General features: G+C 42.7%; 1 annotated feature.

The window, feature by feature from the left end:
• Positions 766-1,060: a silencer, noted in NCBI's record as "tiled region #2575; K562 Repressive non-DNase unmatched - State 13:Ctcf". NCBI's record gives its function as "represses a minimal TATA promoter and a strong SV40 promoter by Sharpr-MPRA in K562 cells {active_cell/tissue: K562}" and the evidence as "EXISTENCE:reporter gene assay evidence [ECO:0000049][PMID:27701403]".

Genomic DNA, 21,934 nt, shown 5'->3' with positions numbered 1-21,934 from the left:
ATAATACAAGTAATTTGACATGAGAAGGATAATTCTATACACTTGAGATCTTTCCTTCTTACTTTTTCAGAGGATATTGCTTTGCTAAAAAGAGAGGACAGATAGTGAAAATACTATTTATCCATTTTAGGGAAGGTACTGATTTAAGATACGAAAGATGGGCTGGACGCAGTGGCTCACGCCTGTAATCCCAGCACTTTGGGAGGCCGAAGCGGGTGGATCACGAGGTCAGGAGATTGAGACCATCCTAGCTAACACGGTGAAACCCTGTCTCTACTAAAAATACAAAAAATTAGCTGGGCATGGTGGCAGGCGCCTGTAGTCCCAGCTACTCGGGAGGCTGAGGCAGGAGAATAGCGTGAATCAGGGAGGCAGAGCTTACAGTGAGCCAAAATCTCGCCACTGTACTCCAACCTGGGAGACAGTGAGACTCCATCTCAAAAAAAAAAAAAAAAAGAAAGAAAGATGAATATTAAACATCAAAGATACAGTTAAAATGTTAGATCAGGAGATATATACATGATGTCATAATTTGTGGTTTTGGAGCTGGAACAAACATTAAGCCGGAATAAATTTCATATTAGACTTGGAAATAAGAGTGTTTTCAATGGACCAAAAAAGTTAAAGGATTACTAACAGAGATCCCTAAGGGCTAGCACTATGGATTAATAACCAGAAGAAAACAAGGTTTAATGTTGAGAGCAGTCCTAGGAACACATCCAACTGAGAAGCAATGGTTGAGGAGCAGAATACACAAGGAAAGATGTAGGAGAAATTTGGAAAGCTCAGGGATTAGCTCACAGTTAAGGCCTTGGTTGTGGGCACTGGTGCTATAGAGACAAGATGTGGAAAATTACACATCCCTATGGGCACTGGTAGCTTCCACACTTAAGGAGAAGCTAAAGGTCGCCTCCTCCTGTCAACACAGTTCTCCTGTCCACCCCACCTGCTCCCAGAACGCTAGGTATAACTGGCAGGTGGCCAGAAACTTTCAGTACAAAGATCAAGAGGAAAACAAGTATCACTAAATATTTAGGGAGAAACACTATCATAAAATGGCACCGAATTCAATAAACAGAAGAATAAATGCCTGAGAGAATATAGCTAATTAGACAGGCAAAAGATGTTATGACAAAAATTAATATCCTCAGAAAATTTGAGAGGATATCATAGACATGAAATAACTAATATCTTGAAAGTTTTAAATATAATAGACAAATGTCAGTAGAAGGATTAAACAGCCAAATGGACAAAACTAAAAAGCAAGTTTACCTGTGAGGAAATGAGAATCCAATATTGCAAAAGACTTTAAATGCTATTGAGTCTTTGCATTCAAGGATATGGTACATTATCTCTCTTTATTTACATATTTTCTTTTTTTCTTTCTTTTTTTTTTTTTTTTTTTTTTTTGCACCGCCCTTAATCCATTTAATCCTGAGTGGACACAGCACATGTTTCAGAGAGCACAGGGTTGGGGGTAAGGTCACAGATCAACAGGATCCCAAGAGAGAGGAATTTTTCTTAGTGCAGAACAAAATGAAAAGTCTCCCATGTCTACTTCTTTCTACACAGACACGGCAACCATCCGATTTCTCAATCTTTTCCCCACCTTTCCCGCCTTTCTATTCCACAAAGCCGCCATTGTCATCCTGGCCCGTTCTCAATGAGCTGTTGGGCACACCTCCCAGACGGGGTGGTGGCCGGGCAGAGGGGCTCCTCACTTCCCAGTAGGGGCGGCCGGGCAGAGGCGCCCCTCACCTCCCGGACGGGGCGGCTGGCCGGGCAGGGGGGCTGACCCCCCCCCACCTCCCTCCCGGACGGGGCGGCTGGCCGGGCGGGGGGCTGACCCCCCAACCTCCCTCCCGGACGGGGCGGCTGGCCGGGCAGAGGGGCTCCTCACTTCCCAGTAGGGGCAGCCGGGCAGAGGCGCCCCTCACCTCCCGGACGGGGCGGCTGGCCGGGCGGGGGGCCGACATCCCCACCTCCCTCCCGGACCGGGCGGCTGGCCGGGCAGGGGGCCGACCCCCCCACCTCCCTCCCGGACGGGGCGGCTGGCCGGGCGGGGGGCCGATCCCCCCACCTCCCTCCCGGACAGGGCGGCTGGCCGGGCAGAGGGGCTCCTCACTTCCCAGTAGGGGCGGCCGGGCAGAGGCGCCCCTCACCTCCCAGACGGGGCGGCTGGCCGGGCGGAGGGCTCACCCCCCCACCTCCCTCCCGGACGGGGCGGCTGGCCAGGCGGGGGGCTGACCCCCCCACCTCCCTCCCGGACGGGGCGGCTGGCCGGGCGGGGGGCTGACCCCCCCCCACCTCCCTCCCGGACGGGGTGGCTGCCGGGCGGAGACGCTCCTCACTTCCCAGATGGGGTGGCTGCCGGGCGGAGAGGCTCCTCACTTCTCAGACGGGGCAGCTGCCGGGCGGAGGGGCTCCTCACTTCTCAGACGGGGTGGTTGCCGGGCAGAGGGTCTCCTCGCTTCTCAGACGGGGCGGCCGGGCAGAGACGCTCCTCACCTCCCAGACAGGGTCTCGGCCGGGCAGAGGCGCTCCTCACATCCCAGATGGGGCGGCGGGGCAGAGGCGCTCCCCACATCTCAGAGGATGGGCGGCCGGGCAGAGATGCTCCTCACTTCCTAGATGTGATGGCGGCTGGGAAGAGGCGCTCCTCACTTCCTAGATGGGATGGCGGCCGGGCGGAGACGCTCCTCACTTTCCAGACTGGGCAGCCAGGCAGAGGGGCTCCTCACATCCCAGACGATGGGCGGCCAGGCAGAGACACTCCTCACTTCCCAGACGGGGTGGCGGCCGGGCAGAGGCTGCAATCTTGGCACTTTGGAGGCCAAGGCAGGCGGCTGGGAGGTGTAGGTTGTAGTGAGCCGAGATCACGCCACTGCACTCCAGCCTGGGCACCATTGAGCACTGAGTGAACGAGACTCCGTCTGCAATCCCGGCACCTCGGGAGGCCGAGGTTGGCGGATCACTCGCGGTTAGGGGCTGGAGACCGGCCCATCCGGCAGTACAGTCCAGCTTCGGCTCCGCATGAGAGGGAGACCGTGGGGAGAGGCAGAGGCAGAGGCAGAGGCAGAGGCAGAGGCAGAGGCAGAGGCAGAGGCAGAGGGAGAGCCTTTCTTTTTTTTTTTTGGAGGCAGAGTCTCACTGTATTGCCCAGGTTGGAGTGCAATGGCACGACCTAAACTCACTGCAACCTCTGCCTCCCAGGTTCAAGCAATTCTCGTGCCTTGGCATCCCAAGTAGCTGGGATTACAGGCATGTTCTACCACAGCCAGATAATTTTTGTAGTTTTAGTGGAGAAGGGGTTTCACCATGTTGGCCAGGCTGGTCTCGAACTCCTGACCTCAGGTGATCTGCCCTCCTTGGCCTCCCAAAGTGCTGGGGTTACAGGTGTGAGCAGCCATGCCCAACCTTACGTATTTTCTTTAGTTAAATTTTATAGATTTCTTTTAACAATGAGCTTTCAAAAGTCATCATTATCTCATGGAAGGAGACTTAAGTCCCTTAACCTACTATTGAACATCATCAAATTTTATTTGTTAGAACTGGAAAAGATTTTAAAAGAGGAAGAAGAAAATGGCCACAGCAGTGAAACGGTGCCCATGTTTATTTTTGGAAGAGAATAATTATATAATAGAAACTTTTTAAAATTCTGAGTTATTATTGAAGAGATTGGCAGTGACTTTCAAACATTTTGACCAAAACCCACACAAAAAAGATGTGTGCAACCCAGTGCACACATACACAAATATGTGTATAAGCAAAGGTTTCATAGAACAACGCTTACTTTACCATAGATTCTGGTGTATATATTGTTTAATTGTTTTATTGTGGAGGAAAGGCTCCTCCTACTCCCAGATGGATATGGCCCCCAGTTTGAAAAGTGTGGTACTAAGAAATCTTATTAGAAAGGCACTTGCCCATGCCCTCCAAAATATTCATTTCCTCATAAATGGATTGAGTTCTCATTCCCTGGTTTCTCTCAGTTAGTCCCTAGGTACCTGGAACCCATATTCAGACACCTCTGGTGCATTCTACTATGATCTCCCCATCTCCCTTTCCTCTTGTTGGATAGATACTATGATTTCACTTTTTATGCCTATTAAACTTTAGTTATAATTGGTGGCCAGGCATGGTGGCTCATGCCTGTAATCCCAGAACTTTGGGAGGCCGAATTGGGTGGATCACTTGAGGTCAGGAGTTGGAGACCAGCCTGGCCAAAATGGTGAAACCCCATCTCTACTAAAAATACAAAAAAATTAGCTGGGTGTGGTGGTACACACCTGTAATCCCAGCTATCTGGGAGGCTGAAGCACAAGAATTGCTTGAACCTGGGAGGTGGAGGTGGCAGTGAGCTGAGATCTGACCACTGCACTCCAGCCTGGGCAACAGAGCGAGACTTAGTCTCAGAAAAAGACTTTAGTTATGACTGGTCTTTTATAAATTGTGTGGACTGAATATTTATGTCCCCTCAATATTCATATGTTGAAGCCCTAACCCCCAATATGATGGAATTTGAAAGTGGAGCCTTTGGGAGATGATTTGGTTTAGATAAGGTCATGGGAGTGGGACCCCTCTGATGGGATTAGTGCCTTTATTAGAAGCGGAAGAGATGGGGACTTGTTCTGTCACTACCATGTAAAGACATTGAGAAGGCAGCCATCTGCAAGCCAGAAGGAGAGCTCTCACCAGAACCCAACCATGCTGGCACCCTGATCTCAGACTGGCACCCTGATCTCAGACTTCCAGCCTCAGAACTGTGAGAAATAGATTTCTGTTCTTTAAGCCACTCGGTCTATGGTATTTTGTTCCAGCAGCCCTAGCTGACCAAAACATAAATTTGCAAAGATCATATACTGTAACAGTGTTCATTGATGATATGAGGAAGCTGATCTCTGGCTCCCTCTCCCAATGTCAAGGCAGTGAGCTGGCCTAAGCACTATTAAGCCTGTTCCTTAACATAAGAACAATTTTCCTCTCCCACTCTGTAAGCAACTCTCTGCAACGCTATATGTATGTGCTTCTAGGAAGAGCGGGTAAATGAGATGACACACCCTGCCCACTAGCAATCTGCTACTTTGGCACCTAGGTTTGGGAGGGTGAACAGAATCATTTGTTTGTCTCAGCAACTGCATATATTAGTCATATCCAGAACAGATCATGCAGAAAAGGTCAACGTGGGTATGTTGTCTAATTCTGCAATATAGGGCAGAAGAGATACTCAGATCTGGAGCTGCCTGCCACATGTCAATTTGCATTAAGGGCTGGAGAACTTCGTGGTGAAAAACCTTTTCTCAAGGGAGAGAGAGCCATGCTCAAGAGGCTTGACCCAGGACAAAAGTCTTAGGCCCTGGAGAGGAGGAGAGGAGCGGTCCCTAGAATAGCACCGAGTCTTTCATTCTTATCTATGTCTGGCACCATCTCAATGGAGACTGTCAGTCTTAAAGGGATGGGGAGGAAAGACTGGGGCAAAGAGGGCCTCTAAGTGGAAACCAAAACAAGTATTTCACTAAAACCTTTGTGAGACATAGGGAAAACACAGAGCTAGGCAATTCTGACTTGAAGCCTCCACATCTCAGCTCAAACATTTACTGGCCCTGTAACTTGGGCAAGTTGCTTTAAACGTCCTATGCCTCAGTTTCCACATCTGCCAAAAAGAGCTGATAATTATACCTACTACTTACCCCACTGGGTTGGATGAAAGGAGATAATACAAAACAAGGCATTTAGTGTAGTGCCCGGCAAAGAAAACCCAAAAACATAGTTGGTACCTGTCATGATTAAGCACAGTGCATACTGTCACAGATACAAAGCCAGTGCGACAGAGAAGGACAGGCGCCTTCTCCGCTTTCCAAATGAATACCGATTTGGGGAGCTTTGTCACCTCAAAGGTCCCTGGCTGCAACAGGAAACAAGCAAAGAGAATTCAGAGACGGAGAAGATGGAAGAAGCAGTTTAGATGTCATTAGAATGCAAGATCCCTGAGGGATTTTGTCCAGTTCAAAATTGTTTCTTGGCATTCAGCGCTACACAAAGTGCATCACAGGGACCCAGATAAATAAGTGATAAATAAATGAGTGCTTGGGTGAATGAATTAATGGATGAATGAACGGTCAGAACCAGGTTCAGCTATGAGCACATGCAAAAGCCATTCTGCATAGTTTGGGGGGACACTTTTCAGGCTCTTTGCAGCCCACAATGATTTGAATTAATAAGCAATTCAAACTTTTCTTGAAAAAAATTGTCTTTAGCTTGAGCATTTACTGGGTGGGAGGCACTCTGCTAGGAGCATTGTGAGTGTTTGGTGAATGTTGTACAGGTGCCAGAGCAAGTGAAGTTGACGCTACGTAGGTCCTTCCAGAGCCTGGTAAAATCTGACATTGGTTGAGCATTTCCTATGTGCCGGGTACTATCTAAGCCTTTCATGTAATCCTCCCAATGACCCTCTGAAGGGTCACTGAGCTCTGAGCTCCATTTGCAGATGAGGAAGTCTGACTACAAGTAATATAAAGTAACAGAACGAAGATTACAGCACAGCTGTATTAAAACATCACTGTACTGCTCAGTTTTAAAACCAACCTTCCCCAACTTCTCTTTTCTTTTCCTTCCTTTCTCTCTTTTTCTTCCTTCCTTCCTTTCTTTCTTTCTCTCTCTCTTTTCTTTCTTGCTCTTTCTTTCTTTCTTTCCTTCTTTCTTTCTTTCTCTCTCTCTTTCTTTATTCTTTCCTTCCTTCTCTCTCTCTTTCTTTCTTTATTCTTTCCTTCCTTCTCTCTCTCTTTTCTTTCTTTTTTTTTGAGACAAGCTCTCACTCTGTCACCCAGACTGGAGTGCAGTGGCACTATCAAGGCTCACTGCAGCCTCAACTTCTTGGGCTCAAGCAATCCTCCACCTCAGCCTCCCAAGGAGCTGGGACCACAGGCGCATGCCACCATGCCCGGCTAACTTTATATTTTTTGTAGAGATGGGGTTTCACCATGATACCCAGGCTGGTCTCAAACTCCTGAGCTCAAGCAATCTGCCCACTTCTGCCTCCCAAAGTGCTGGGATTACAGGCATGAGCCACTGTACTCATCCTAGGGCTTCTATTTTTCATCAGCTGCAGGATTGGCCCTCAGGGTTGCTGGAGTGATAGAGAATTGTAAACTCTCAGCGCTAATAGAAAAGTCAGAGATCACCTAATCCTACAACTGGATTTTACTGACTTGGAAACTGAGATCCAAGAGGCACTATGAAGGTCCCAGTGCTGGCTACTGGAACATTCCACATATTCCTCATCTCCTACCAGGAAGTCAGGTTTTGAAATCATTTTGTTATAACAATAACTCAAGTTAGGGTGTATATCTAACTAAAATAATGCTGAAAACGTAATAGTGCAAATGAAATCACAATTCATAAAGGCACTCATTCTTTTTCTTGGGTGGCCTAATCTTTAGCTGTGACTAACGTGTGCACCTATATTTGCTTGTGTATGAACAATAACAGGAATTATAACAACAATGGCATTACATTTTTATACACAGCCTTTCATCTCAGGTGTGTAAGCCAAGTCAGCATCATCAACTCATTAATCGTAAGAACACTTCTTTGAGGTTCCCTCAGTGGGTAATTTTATTACCCTTTTTTATGGGTTGAGAAGCTACAACTAAAGTACAGTGACATTCCCAAAGTTACTCGAGAAATTGACAGAAAATCCAAAACTAAATCTTTCTTTCATGCTTGCAGGCATCTATCCTCCTACTAACTAATATTTGGGATATTCAGGTCATAGAGCATTGTTTATTAGATTAGTACTTATATAGTCTCATAAACTTTTTAGTAAGACAATAAGTTTATTAAGATTAATATTTTAAAAGCCAATTAACTCCTTTTAATATGCATATATAAGGTGCGTTTCTAACATTTCCTTGCATTCTATCCTGAAACTCACTTCATTTTTTAAAATCTTGATTTTTTTCATAGTCTTATTCTTTCTTTAAGACTTTTTTTAAGAGCAGTTTTAGGTTCTCAGCAAAGTTAAGAGAAAGGACAGAGACTTTCCATATGCCCCCTTCACCCACACATGCACGGCCTTCCCATTGTCGATGTCCCCACTAGAGTGGAACGATTAGTAGAATTGCTGAACCTACATTGACACATCATTATCACCAAAGTCCACAGTTTACACTAGGGTTCACTCTTGGTGTTGTATAGTCTGTGAGTTTGGATAAGTATATAATTACACGTATCCATCATTAGAGTATCATGCAAAGGATTTTCAATGTCCTAAAAACGCTCTGTGCTAGGCCTATTCATCTTTGCCTTCCCCCAACCCCTGGAAACCACCGATACTTTTAACTGTCTCCATAATTTTGGCTTTTCCGGAAAGTCAGTACGTAGCCTTTCCTGGTTGTCTTCTTTCACTTAATAATATCCATTGAGGTTTTCTCCATGTCTTTTCATGGCTTGATAGCTCATTTCTTTTTAGTGCTAAACAATAAGCCATTGTCTAGATGTACCACATTTTATCCATTCAAGTCCGTCTCATTTTTAACTGGGTACAGAACGTTGGTTACTAATGATGAATAATTGGGAGTAACTGATGGGATGAACAGACATGTCTGCCTGAAGTTTAAGAACAATTTATTAAAGGGACTTTGGGCTGAGCCACTGGAAGAGGAACTCCCTCCTTGAGCAAGGATCTCCTTTTCCTCCTTCCCTTCCTTCTGTTTTTCCCTCTAGTCATGGAGGAGTTTCTAGGAATTGCTCGCTCTTTCAGTGTGTTTTATTTCAAGAGAAGTGTGGCACGGAAGAAAGAGCCTCAGCTGGGCCAGTCACTTGGGTTCTCTAGGCTCCGGTGTCTCTAACTGTAAGATGACAAGGCTGGAGAGATGATTTCTGGGGTCCCTCTGAGCTCAGCTAACCCAAGATTCTACCTTCTTTGATTTCATCTTTGACATCTGCTTCTGTCTAATGGCTTAAAAGGAAGGCTTACTTTATACATGTCAGCAAAAATAGTTTGCCTGTATATTTATTTGAATGTCCCACAAAACCAAATCCTTGTTTCATGGTCCAGAGTTTATATCATTTTGTTTTCACTTATTTTTCCTTCTTGCTCATGAAATTCCAACAGCCTGAGAATCTGGCAGTCTTCAAGACTCTTCTCAAATGCCTTAAAATGTACCTGGGGGGTACTAAATATTTTCCAAAGCCTATGAATTGACAGAGAAGTCAAAATAGACTGGTTTCCACCAGGGTTACCATCATCAATTTTGCCACGTTCCACACTCAGTTTCCTTCTAAGGATATTCTTACAAATGCCACTACCGAATGTTCATCTTTAGGATCAGGATTAACTGCCTTACTCATATAAGAACTTTTTAGTGATTCTCTCATAGCAGTACAATAACAGATCTTTTTTCCCCACAAAAGAATATATAAAGCATTATCCTCGTAATTAATCTGTGATAAAAATCACGAAGGTCCAACCAAAATCTCATGCATTTGGATAGTTTTAGGAGCAGTCCTTATCTGGATTGTTCTAAATAATGAATCTGGGTGGCAAAAATATTCCATCCACACTGTCAGTTACCCCCAGATCTGCCTGTCACCCCCTTTTTAAAGTAGACTTTATTTTTTTTTTCCAGCCTTGGCATCTTTCTTGCATAAATAAACTTTATTTTTTAGAACAGGTTCAGTTTCACAGCAATTTCAAGTGGAAATTTCAGAAAGTTGCCATATTGCCTGCCCTTTTTTAGTGGCTTAAGCTGGTTTGATTGAATTTCTTTCACTTACAAGCAAAAAAATTCTCATAATACAGAAATTTAAATGACTTGATGATATATATATTACTGGATCTGTGAGTATATTTATCAAGATGATAATACATATTTCATATGTTCATAAGCACTTCCAGTTGGTAAACTTGTTTAAAATTAAAATTTCAAGGCTGGGCATGGTGGCTCATGCCTGTAATTCCAGCGCTTTGGGAGGCTGAGGCAGGTGGATCACCTGAGGTCAGGAGTTCGAGACCAGCCTGGCCAACTTGGTGAAACCCCATCTCTACTAAAAATACAGAAATTGGCCTGGTGTGGTGGCACATGCCTATGGTCCCAGATACACGGGAGGCTGAGGCAGGAGAATCGCTTGAGCCCAGAAGGTGGAGGTTGCAGTGAGCTGAGATCGCGCCACTGCACTCCAGCCTGGGTGATAGAGTGAGACTCTGTATCAAAAAAATAAATAAACTAATTAGTTAAATTAAATTTTTACCCACACCATTTGTGTTAGCTATTAGTTAAGCATGATTCCCTTCAGCTTGTCATCTGCCAACCTCTTTCCTTGGGATCTCTGTTGTTTTTTGTTTGTCTGTTTGAGATGGAGTCTTGCTTTGTCGCCCAGGCTGGGGTGCAGTGGCACCATCTCAGCTCACTGCAACTTCTGCCTCCTGGGTTCATGCAATTCTCCCACCTCAGCCTTCTGAGTAGCTGGGATTATAGGCATGCATCACCAAGCCCGGCTAATTTTTTGTATTTTAGTAGAGACGAGGTTACACCGTGTTGCCCAGGCTAGTCTTGAACTCCCGAGCTCAGGTGATGCACCTGCCTCGGCCTCCCAAAGTGTTGGGATTACAGGTGTGAGCCACCACACTGGCCAGGGATCTCTGTTTTAATGAGCTTTCAGACACCAGACTCTCTGCCTCCCCTGACTTCAAACTGTACCCCTGGCCATTCTCAACCCCTGCTGGTTTCTGCTCCCTCCCGAAGTGGGCTAGCATTTCTAGGTTCCTTTGAAGCAATGTTTTGAAGGATTATTGTGAAACGACAGACTTTTCTATAAAAATTTATGTGGGACACAGTTAATGTTTTAAGTCAAGCTTACACAGCATGTTATTTGTGTAAACAGAATTAACGTTACAACAATGCTTCAGAAAGCATTAATTACTTTATATTTCTTCTTATTAAAAAAAATCATGGCTGGATGCGGTGGCTCGTGTCTGTAATTTCAACACTTTGGGAGACCGAGACAGAAGGATCACTTGAGGCCAGGAGTTTGAGATCAGCCTGGGCAGCATGGTGAAAACCCCATCTCTACAAAAAATGAAACATTTTAGCTGGGCATGGTGGCAGCACCTGTAGTCCCAGCTATTCAGGAGGCTGAGGTTGGAGGATCACTTGAGCCCGAGGTCAAGGCTGCAGTGAGCCATGATCATGCCACTGCACTTCCACCTGGGTGACAGAGCAAGGCCCTGTTTCAAAAAAAAAAAAAAAAAAAAAGAAAAATATCAAGAACAGACAAAAGTCATAACCATGTTGACCATTCCTTATTAATTCTTCAAGGTGGTTCTTTCTTCTGGCATATCTAAAAGTGGTTTTAAATATTTACACAGTGATCTTTTTGCTGACTTTTGCAAGGGGCCTAATTGTCTAGGAATTGATAAGATATATTAGCCAGGTTTGTGTTTTATGTGTAAGCCAGAGAGGAGAGCTGAAGGAGGCTTCACTCTTTAATCTATTTTAGGATCACATTACCTAGCATGGCGTACCAACTATCTCTATCATAAAACATCCCAGCTGTTGAATTACCGTCAGCCACACCATAGGACAGTTTAGATTAGAAAATGAAAAAGAATTGTGTGTCCAGTCGAAATGACAGGGAGGAATCTGATGGCAAGTAAATGCCTGTTTATGGAAGGCAGTGCGCTTTCCAATCAGACAAACCTCCTCTGTCCAAAAGTGCTGAGACAAATGTGTGCTTCTAAACAGTGGGTCGATTTTGTTCCTGGATCCAGCATACAAATGTTACATTTTAAAAACTGCATTACTAGATCTAGGGGAAACTTAGTGCAGGCTTCTCCTTTTAGGAGAGCTGGGCCATACACTGTCCTAGACTCCCACTCCCTGCCCCTTTATATTCTATTACGTGCTGAGAGAAAATAACTTCGCCCTCCTTCCCTTTGTTTTTCTTTCAGAGCAAATGAAGTCAAGGGCAGTTCTGGGGGGCTGGGTGGGGACAGGTGGAGTCTGTGCAGTGCAGGAGACTTTCTTTAATGTTACAAAAGTAGCCCTGAGCTAAATGGCTCTGACAACAAAATTAACTATCCAAACCAGGTGAGACTTGTTTTTCCATTCATGACAGAGCAGGTTGGAATTCATTTCAGTTTACTAACCCTCTGTTTATATTGATTTATTTCAGGAAAATGAAATAATCTTTAACATTTTGACTTTTCCAAGCAGTTTCATAGAAATTTAGGTCATTCTCACGAGTGCTTTTGGCTTTTAAAGATTTTTTTCTGAGTATAAACATAATTCGTATTAGAGATCATTGTGAAAAAAATTTAGAGAGAATCAAAGAAAATAAAAATTACCTTTACTACTATTCCCATACAGAAATAACTTCCCTCGATCCTTAGATTTACATATTTATTTATTTATTTTGCAATTCATTATCTAATTTATTTAGTTCCTCAGAGTTCCTACATTTTAGTTTCAAAACATCCCTTTGAAGAAGGTAGGTCAGGAAGTGTTATATCAGTTTTGCTGACGAGGAAGCTGATGAAACGTTGTGACATGTCCAGAGGCCCACAGAAAATCAGTGTCGGACCTCAAGCTGGCCCCACTGTGGCAGCCCTGGAACACTCAGAGTTGCTCTTCTTTGTAATCAGTTTCCTTGCTCTGTGGCTTCTGCAACCAGGGCTATGTTCCTCAAAGGTGAGGGGGAATTTTCTTTTTTTCTCAATGGTGACAGTATCAGTTACTCCTTGTTAGAACCAGGTTCTATCCTTGCAACTTTACCTACTGGCTAAAATTTCACTTAGTCCCCAGACCAGTCTTCCCTGTGCTCTCTCAGTCATTTGTGGACATGCACAGAGCAGGGAAATATGTGAGCTGAGGTCAAACGCGTTGGCACTCTGTATTAGTATTGTTGCTGTGGTTGCCATTGCCTAATAATAAATGGCATGGCCTCTCAGAGGATTCAGCTTATGCAAGAGATTCCGACTTACAGGAATAAGAACTTCTGCTGCAGACGCTAGGAAGCTGTCTCAGAGTTTTTGATGGCTAACACCTTGGCACCCTCCAGAGCACCTCTGTCCTCCTCTGATTGCAATTACTCACCTGTTCCAGATTCTGACACCTGTTACCTGAGGCTCTCTGTCTCATGCCTGGTTCTCTCGGAAGCATCAGGACAGTCCATGTACAAGTTAGGGCAGGCTTGTTTATGGTTTTACTTTGGGAATGTTTATGTCAGAGTCCTAAGGGGCCTGGCCATCAGCCCTGCTTTCAACATGGTTCCTTTCAGGAGATGTAGGGTAACCCATGCAAGCATGTCTCCTGTCCTGCTTTGACACCCAGGAGTTTCTTAGGTGTGTGTGCAGATTAGACCTCAATGCCTAATAGTATTCTTTGAGAGAAAAATGTTTACCTCTCACGACTTGCTGCTAAGAAAAAATGCAAATAATTTGTGCAGAAGTCCCAGAATTTCAGTACAGTGAGCTTAGATGATTCCAAACATGGATAGATTCGCTTAGTCCTTAAAAAAACTTAGTTTCAAAAGAACACTCACTTGATAAAATATCTAATGAAGGAGGGAGAATATTTAGAGAAAGAGTATTTTTTCTTTTTTCAGGAAATACTAAAGCTTATTTTTTTCTGAGAAATTCCAAATGGGACTGGTGACAGGCATCTAACATATAATAAAGTAGTTCAGTTGGTTATAAATAGAAGTTTTTATTTAATGTGGATTGCAGTTTCATAATAAGGACAGTTATGTTGCCAACCAAAATAACCGTAACTAGTAAAAGATAATTGATTTCCTATTAAATTACTCTAGGAAAATAAGAGCAAAATAACTTAGGAATAAACAAATTATATTCATTTTGATACTTTTGTTATGCAAATAATTATTTATGCTTAAAATATATGTCTTTATTATAACTCTCAGTTCAAAAATACAATATGAAAAAGATGTTAAAAATCAAACACTGTGGAAAACCAAATTATCATAGCTGACAGACTGTAACCACCACTCTGATGAAGCCAAAAAAATGTAGTTCAAACAAGGAACTCCTAAGAATTGTCAATAACTATCTATATCAATCTCAACCATAATAAGAAATATGCAAATGAAAACCACATGGAGATGCTCTATTTTTTCCACCCATAGATTAGCAAAAACCTAGGAGTTTGACAACATGCAATGCTGGCAAGGCTGGAGGAAACAGGCTTCTCATACGTGGCTGGTGAAAGTGTAATACAGTGATTTGGCACTATCAAACGTAATTACAGTTGTAGCTACTATCTACTCCAAAAATCTCAGTTCTGGGTATGTGTTATGCATATGTACCAGCACACATAGGAAAACACATATGTTCAAGGTTATTCACTGCAGTGTTGCTTGAAAGAGCAATGACTGGGAACAACCCATGTGTCTAATAAGGGAATAGTTGGTCAAACAAACTACAGTACTTCTGTATAATAAAATACTATGCATCTATCAAAAAGAACAAGGGGACAACATGAATGAACTTTGAAAGCATTATGTCACCTGAAAGAAGCCAGTTACAAAGGAGCACATATTGTATGATTCCAGTTGCATAAAATGTCCAGAAAGGGAAATCTATGGAGTTAGAAGTAGACTGGTGGTTACCTTGGGCAAACGGATGGGAGTCGGGTGGGGAGGCTGGGGAAAGTGATGGTTAAAAGGTATAGGGCTTCTTTTGGAGGCAATAAAAATGCAATAAAATTGATCATGGTGATGGATGCACAACTCTGTAGATCTAGAAAAAGCCACTGAATTGTACACTTCAAATGGTGATGGTGTGGTATGTGAATTATATCTCAATAAAGTTGTTTAAACTAATAAGGGCCAGGTGTGGTGGGTGGGTCACGCCTGTAATCCCAACACTCTGGGAGGCCAAAGTGGGCCAAAATGAATATAATTCGTTTATTCCCACCTGAGGTCAGGAGTTCGAGACAAGCCTGGCCAATATGGTGAAACCCCATCTCTACTAAAAATACAAAAATTAGCCAGGCGTGGTGGCACTCGCCTGTAGTCCCAGCTACTCGGGAGGCTGAGGCAGGAGAATCACTTGAACCTGGGAGGCAGAGGTTGCAGTGAGCCAAGATCGCACCATTGCACTCCAGCCTGGGTGACAGAGCAAGACTGTGTCTCAAAAATAAATAAATAAATAAATAGAATTTTAAAATAAGGACACTCACTTCATGCTGATATAGAAAGGTCTCTAAGATATATTCAATAAAAGAACAAAATGCAGACTAGTCAGGTTATTGTACAATCTTTTGAGTAGAAAAATTAGAAAATAAAAATGTATCATTTTTTCATATACATAAAGAAACATGGGGATGAGGTTATCCATGAAACTAATTAAAGTGCTCACTTTGGTGAAGAAGAGTGTAGACAGCCAAAGCATCCATGTATTTGTTATTATACTTCTTGGCTATCCATATTAATTTGACATGATTGGTTTAGTCAACGTACATATTTTAGCACTATGTTTCAATCATGGGACAACATTTTAAATTATCCAGACACATAATACATCATTTTTCCCAGCCAGATAGCTTTATTAAAGTGCCCAGAGAGTTCCTATTTGTTCTAATAGAAGTCCTATTTGCACTTGGACTCATCAAAATGGTAGTAAAAGTCACTGCCAGAAAAATGAAAAGATGCATGCTGGATGAATGATGAACTGGCTTCACCAAGCAGGTGTCCCTGAGCTGTAAAGGGTGTCACTCAGCTTCTGTTCTGATTCCTCAGCTTGTGTGCAAGGAACTGTCACACTGCAGCAAGGATCCCTGGCATCCACAAACTGTCACCCACTTGCCGGCCGATGTGACCAGGAAGGGAAATGATGGCAAATAACACGTGGACAGATTCACTTTCAGACAGTGCTTTGAAGATGAAGCAGCAGCTGTCAAGTTCTGCTTCATGCCACACTTATGAAAGAAAATTATAATTCACGGATTTCAAAATATTAATACAATCTCAGCTCTTTCAATGGATTGCAATCCATCTCCACAGTGGAGACAGATCAAAACCTGGCACAGCATACCATCATGTTGTCTAACAGCTGCTGGGAGACAGGGAGTTGCCTCAGACGCACCAGCTAGGGAGAGCAATTCCACAGTTAACAGCACAGTTGGTCTTTAACCATGTCTGGGGGTTTCATTTTTTTCAGTGTGTTTCTCTAGGGGTTCTGTTGGGTTGTCTGTCTTCAAAAATACTAACTTCAGATGTCAAAGCATGTCATTCCTCTTAGGCCACAAGGCAGTAAATTGTCCAGTTACTCCATTATATTAGGGTTAGAAAAAAAATTCAGGAAAAACTATGGTTAATACAAATGAGGGAAAATCCTGTTAAATTAGTGGTGAAGAACTGACAGGAAGTGCATCCTTTCGTACGACAAATTGTTAACAGTAATAACATCCTTTATAACAAATACATCGTAAGTGCAAGAAAACTAAATATGCTGTATATAAAATCAGCCTTCATATAAGTCACTTGTACACTGCTTAACTCCACGAGAGGTGGGGAAGTAGATAGGGAAGATTAAGCCACTCCTAAAACAAAGTCACTGTTGTCATTTTTTATTTATTCATTCTATTTAATCCAAACTGCAGTATACCACAGGGTCTTAAAAAAAAAAAAAGAACAATTCTTAGATTAGGGAAAAATCAGCATTAATTTCTTCACTTACATCATTTTTGTTACTTTGTCCAAAACATCTTTCTGCCTGTGTTTGCTCCAAATGCCCTTAATCTGAGTTTTGCAAAATAACTTATGCAAAATATGGAAAAATGTTATTCCAGACAAGGTTGACTTGGAAATATATTAAATGAAAAAAGAACATTGCAAAAAACAGTATATCTAATACATATGTTACTTTTAAAAGTATGATTTTTATTATGCTTAGAAGAAAACTAGAAGAAAAATATATACCAAACTCTTTTTTTGTTTGTTTTGTTTTTTGTTTTTGAGACAGAGTCTTGCTCTGTCACCCAGGCTGGAGTGCAGAGGCACGACCTCGGCTCACTGCAACCTCTGCCTCCCAGGTTCAAGTGATTCTCCTGCCTCAGTCGCTCGAGTAGCTGGGACTACAGGCATGCACCACTACGCCTGGCTAATTTTTGTATTTTTAGTAGAGACAGGGTTTCACCATGTTGGCCAGGCTGGTCTTGAACTGCTGACCTCAAGTGATCCACCCACTTTGGCTTCCCAAAGTGCTGGGATTGGAGGCATGAGCCACTGTGCCTGGCCTATATCAAACTCTTAACAGTGATTGGGGAGTAAGAATATTTTCACTTTTTAATTTCACTTATCTGCAATTTTTTATAGTTAGAATAATATTTTTCTGTAGTCTTAATAAATGATAAAGTCCTTTTATTTTAGAAAACAGATCTAAAAATGGGAGTGAGAGAACTGATAGATATAGACATCCAATAAGTCAGAAGGCAGCTGGACTGAATCTTAGGTGTTTCCTCTGCTGTGGGCCAAGCTGTGTCCCCTGAAAAATTCATATGCCAAGCTACCTCAGAAGGTGACTATATTTAGGCTGGGCACGGTAGCTCATGCCTGTAATCTCAGCTACTCGGGAGGCTGAGGCAGGAGAATCGCTTGAACCCAGGAGGTGGAGGTTGCAGTGAGCCGAGATCGCACCACTGCACTCCAGCCTGGGCGACAGAGTGAGACTCCTTCTTAAAAAAAAAAAAAAAAAAAAAAAAAAGATAATTGATAGTTGGTCAATTCTTAAAATAAAAACAAACAAAAAAAATCTGAGCACTTTACTTAGTACTTTGTATTCCAAACAATCAACATTCCATTGGAAATACTTAATTGTTTGATTAGGTAAAACAAAATAGGTTTTATGCAAAGATAATTTTTAAATACCAGTAACCCCAATTTTGTCATCTCAATTAATGTGCTTATTCTATATTAACCATCTAGGGTTCTAGAAAAAATAGATTTTTAAAAAGAAATAACTTTTTATGGCTTAAGTGAAAAATGTTTAAAATTAATTTTGGAGTGGCTGTGATTTTTTAAAATGCAGCAAGAATGTATGTCTAATTATGTATGTTTGATTCAACCTACAATAATGCCATGTTTTCCTTGACATAGAGTAAGAATTTCTGTTTGTATTTTATGCATCTAATGGAATCCACTCTGAATTCCTTCTTTCAGGAATCCACTCCATTAGGTGCATAAAATATAAACAGAAACTCTTACTCTATGTCATGCTCCATTCAGTCATTCATTCAGTCAGCCTCTGTTGAGTTTCTACTCAACACTTGGCCCTGGGGACGTAGTAGTGAGCAAAATTCTTCCAGTGTTCCCTGCCCTCTGAATTGTGGATTCTTTGATCCGACTCCTTGTTCTGAAACCGGTAGAGACAAGGACCTGGAATCTCCTTCCTCCATGTGCCCAGGCGCCCAGTGGGGGATAGGGAGACCAGTGAGGGAATCCCTGCTTGGGCTTCCAGGGGCCAAGTGCTGCTTGTGGAAGAAGCTCTGCATTGGGGAGAGGGGGGTCCTCAGTACTTTGGAACTGACTAGCCACTTAATTCCCATTCATTTGAGTGCACGTAGGAAGCCCAAGGAGCAGTTTTGAAGGGGACAGGTATCAAAACCCTACACTGACATCCACGTGACCATCTTCTCTCTTTCTCTCTCTCTCTCTGAGACAGAGTCTTGCTCTGTTGCTCAGGCTGGAGTGCAGTGGCATGATCACAACTCACTGCAGCCTCAATCTCCTGGGCTCAAGAGGTCCCACCTCAGCCTCCCAAGTAGCTGGGACTACAGGTGCACACCATCACGACTGACTAATTTTTGTATTTTTTTGTAGAGATAGGGTTGTGCCATGTTGCCCAGACTGTACTAATGTCTTTAATGGTGTTTAACATCACTCCTGCTAAATCGATGGCTTTAAGACTGTTTCTTATAGTCCCTTGTCTTCCCCTGAAGAGTTTATGTAGCACACATCTTCCACAGAGCAAGGATACAATGAACGTTTGTCTGTATGTCTTGCCTTCTTTCAGGAAGAGAACAGTCACGCCTCATGATCAGCTGAGTGTGTGAGTTAAGCAGCAGAATCATGAAGACATTCCTGTCCTGCTGGAGTTGACTGCCTGTGTGTAGAGTTGCACTTTACCCCTCTACTCCTTTTCCATCACCTCCCCTTCCTATCCACAACTCTCACCATGAAAACAGTGCAGAGGCGAATTTCCAGACTGGACGCTTCCAAGCCAGCTTACCTGTACCCTTAACAGATGTGCCAGTTGGGAAACTATTTCGTGTTTCTCCTTAAACAAACTCCTTAATCCTTCCTTAAGCAATGAAAACAACTGATTTCTCTTAGTCAACACAATAAAAACCTTCAGAAAGTAATTACAAAATTGCTTGCAGGTAACAACCTATAAGACCTATAAGAAATGTCCTCTTTGTGTTAAGAACGCAATCTCTTTGGTATAGTGATATGATCTCCAAAATTACATTTGCAACATCAGGCAATGAAACAAAGGAACATCTTAATAAATTAATCCTAAAATAACTTCGTTATAGCAGAATGTTATCTGAATTTGGAAATGGGAAATCCTGAAGTATATGGCAGAAAAGAATTTGTCTATGAACAGCAATTTGCCAACAAGATCAGGAGGGAACTAAACTCAAAGATATGTTGTCAATGTGCACAGTGTCCATGCCTAGAACTTGGTAAAATTGCTCCCTTTAAGGTACTGGCTACAATTGAATGTGAACCTAGAATGAATGTCAGTAGGTTTCGTTAGGCCATGGGGCCCATCCTGCCTGACACCCAAATCTCACCTCACGCTGAGGTTCCTGGGATTGGGATTGAGTCCAGAAACAATTGTGCATCTCTAAGAGATTCCCACTGTACAACCAAGTGGCTTCCTGCTGAAGTATTCTCCAATCAAGTGGTGGGTCAGTTCTGAAAGGAGCTGACCTGTCATGTTAAGGGGAATGCTGGTTCAAAGAGCTACACCTGGGCTGCACCTCCACCTTCAGAGCTGCAGACACCTGGGCCACACCTACACCTTTACAGCCTCATACTTATCTCAAGGCTCCCCATAACCCAGGAAAAGTAAGCAGAGGTAGCTAAAAGACTGGATCACCTGTCAACACAGTTGGGTCATCTCTCAGTGCATCAACTAAAGGGTATTTTCTGGGCAGTATATAAACTTGGATTTTAGAATACCAATCCACTGCATTCTTTAAATATTGTCTAGAAAATTGGAAAAATAAGACTGGGTGCGGTGGCTCATGCCTATAATCCCAGCACTTTGGGAGGCCGAGGAGGGTGGATCACTTAAGATCAGGAGTTTCAGATTAGCTTGGCCAATATGGTGAAACCTTGTCTCTACCAAAAATACAAAAATTAGCTGGGTGTGGTGGCACATGCCTGTTGTCCCAGCTACTTGGGAGGATGAGGCAGAAGAATCCCTTGAACCTGGAAGGCAGAGGTTACAGTGAGCCAAGATTACGCCACTGCACTCCAGCCTGGGTGACAGACCAAGACTCTGTCTCAAAAAAAGAAAAAGAAAATTAGAATAATAAAAAAGAAAAGGAGGAATTATTTTTCTGAGTGCCACTCAGAAATAGGAAGTTGATTGTGTTTTAGTCACTGGAGTTAAAATAAGTCATTAATCATCCTCTTCCCCTGTCTTTTAAGAATCATCATTACGGTCATGTGTCACCTAATGAGGATACATTCTGAGAAATGTGTCATTAGGCAATTTCGTTGTTATTTGAATGTCATAGATGTACTCATACAAACCTAGATAGTATAGCCTACTACACACTTAGGCTGTATAGTACAGCCTGTTGTTCTATAAATCCTATATAACATGTGACTGGACTGAATACCATGGGCGATTAAAACACAATGGTAAGCATTTGTGTATCTAAACATAGAAAAGGTACAGTAAAAATACAATATAAAATTTTTTTAAATGGAACATCTATTTAGGGCAGCTCCATTATAATCTTACGGGACCACATTGTATATAGATGCAGTTCATCTTTGAGCAAAACATCATGATTTGACACATGATTTACTTTAAAGCAAGTAAATGACTGATATAGTAATAGGCAGAAAGTTGGTCATTGAATGGCTAGAGCTTTTCCTAAAAAAAAAAAAAAAAAAAAATACAAGGCCAAGAACTGGCTTTTAAATTTTTCAAATACTTTCTTTCAGAAACAATAATAGGGCAATTCTTTGCCAAAGGCAGACGGCATCAAGTTCAAAAGGAATAAAGACTTAATGGCTATGCCCCCTAGAGTCAAAGAAGATAAGCTGCAGGAAAGATTATTTTGGGGGAGGAGGAAGTTTAGGGGAAAGATAGTGACCCTTTTACATTTATTATGGTAGCATTATCTTCAGCAAATAAATGTCATCTGCATTTATTTGCTGAGGGTTCAGAGACCCTGGCAGCAGTCACAGAAATCCGTTCTAACAAGATTAAACATTCTCAAAAATAATTTCTCAAGTGTGGAACCTAGGCGGTCTTCCCCTTAACATTAGGTATAGGTTCTGCTTGTCGGGCTCCTGTTTTTCATCTTTTACTGTAGGAAAAAAATTCCAAAATTTCTTTGACACATGAAGAGCAGATTTGAAAAGCTGCAGTTCATCTGAAGTGTTTTAGGTACAGCAGAGGAGGCACCCTGGGGCCTGATTATTGGGTATTGTGGGAGCAGCTCATCGTCTCTCTGGCTCAGCAGGCTCACACCACTGCCTGTCAGTGCCCAGGATGACAACTCACTGCAAAGAGCCAAGGGCCCCCTCCTGGGAACAGTCAGCTCCCGGAGGCTTGGGTCTGTTTCTTCTGCAGCTGGACATTCACATCCAGTACAGTGTTTACAACAGAGATAGCACTCAATAAATATTTGTTGAGTGATGAACAAATGTATGCATGTCAGCTCTTGGG

Source organism: Homo sapiens, chromosome 2, assembly GCF_000001405.40.
Source record: "Homo sapiens chromosome 2, GRCh38.p14 Primary Assembly".
NCBI lineage: Eukaryota > Metazoa > Chordata > Mammalia > Primates > Hominidae > Homo > Homo sapiens.
The sequence above is the reverse complement of the archived record's forward strand: the minus strand, read 5'-3'. Positions and strand labels throughout refer to the sequence as shown.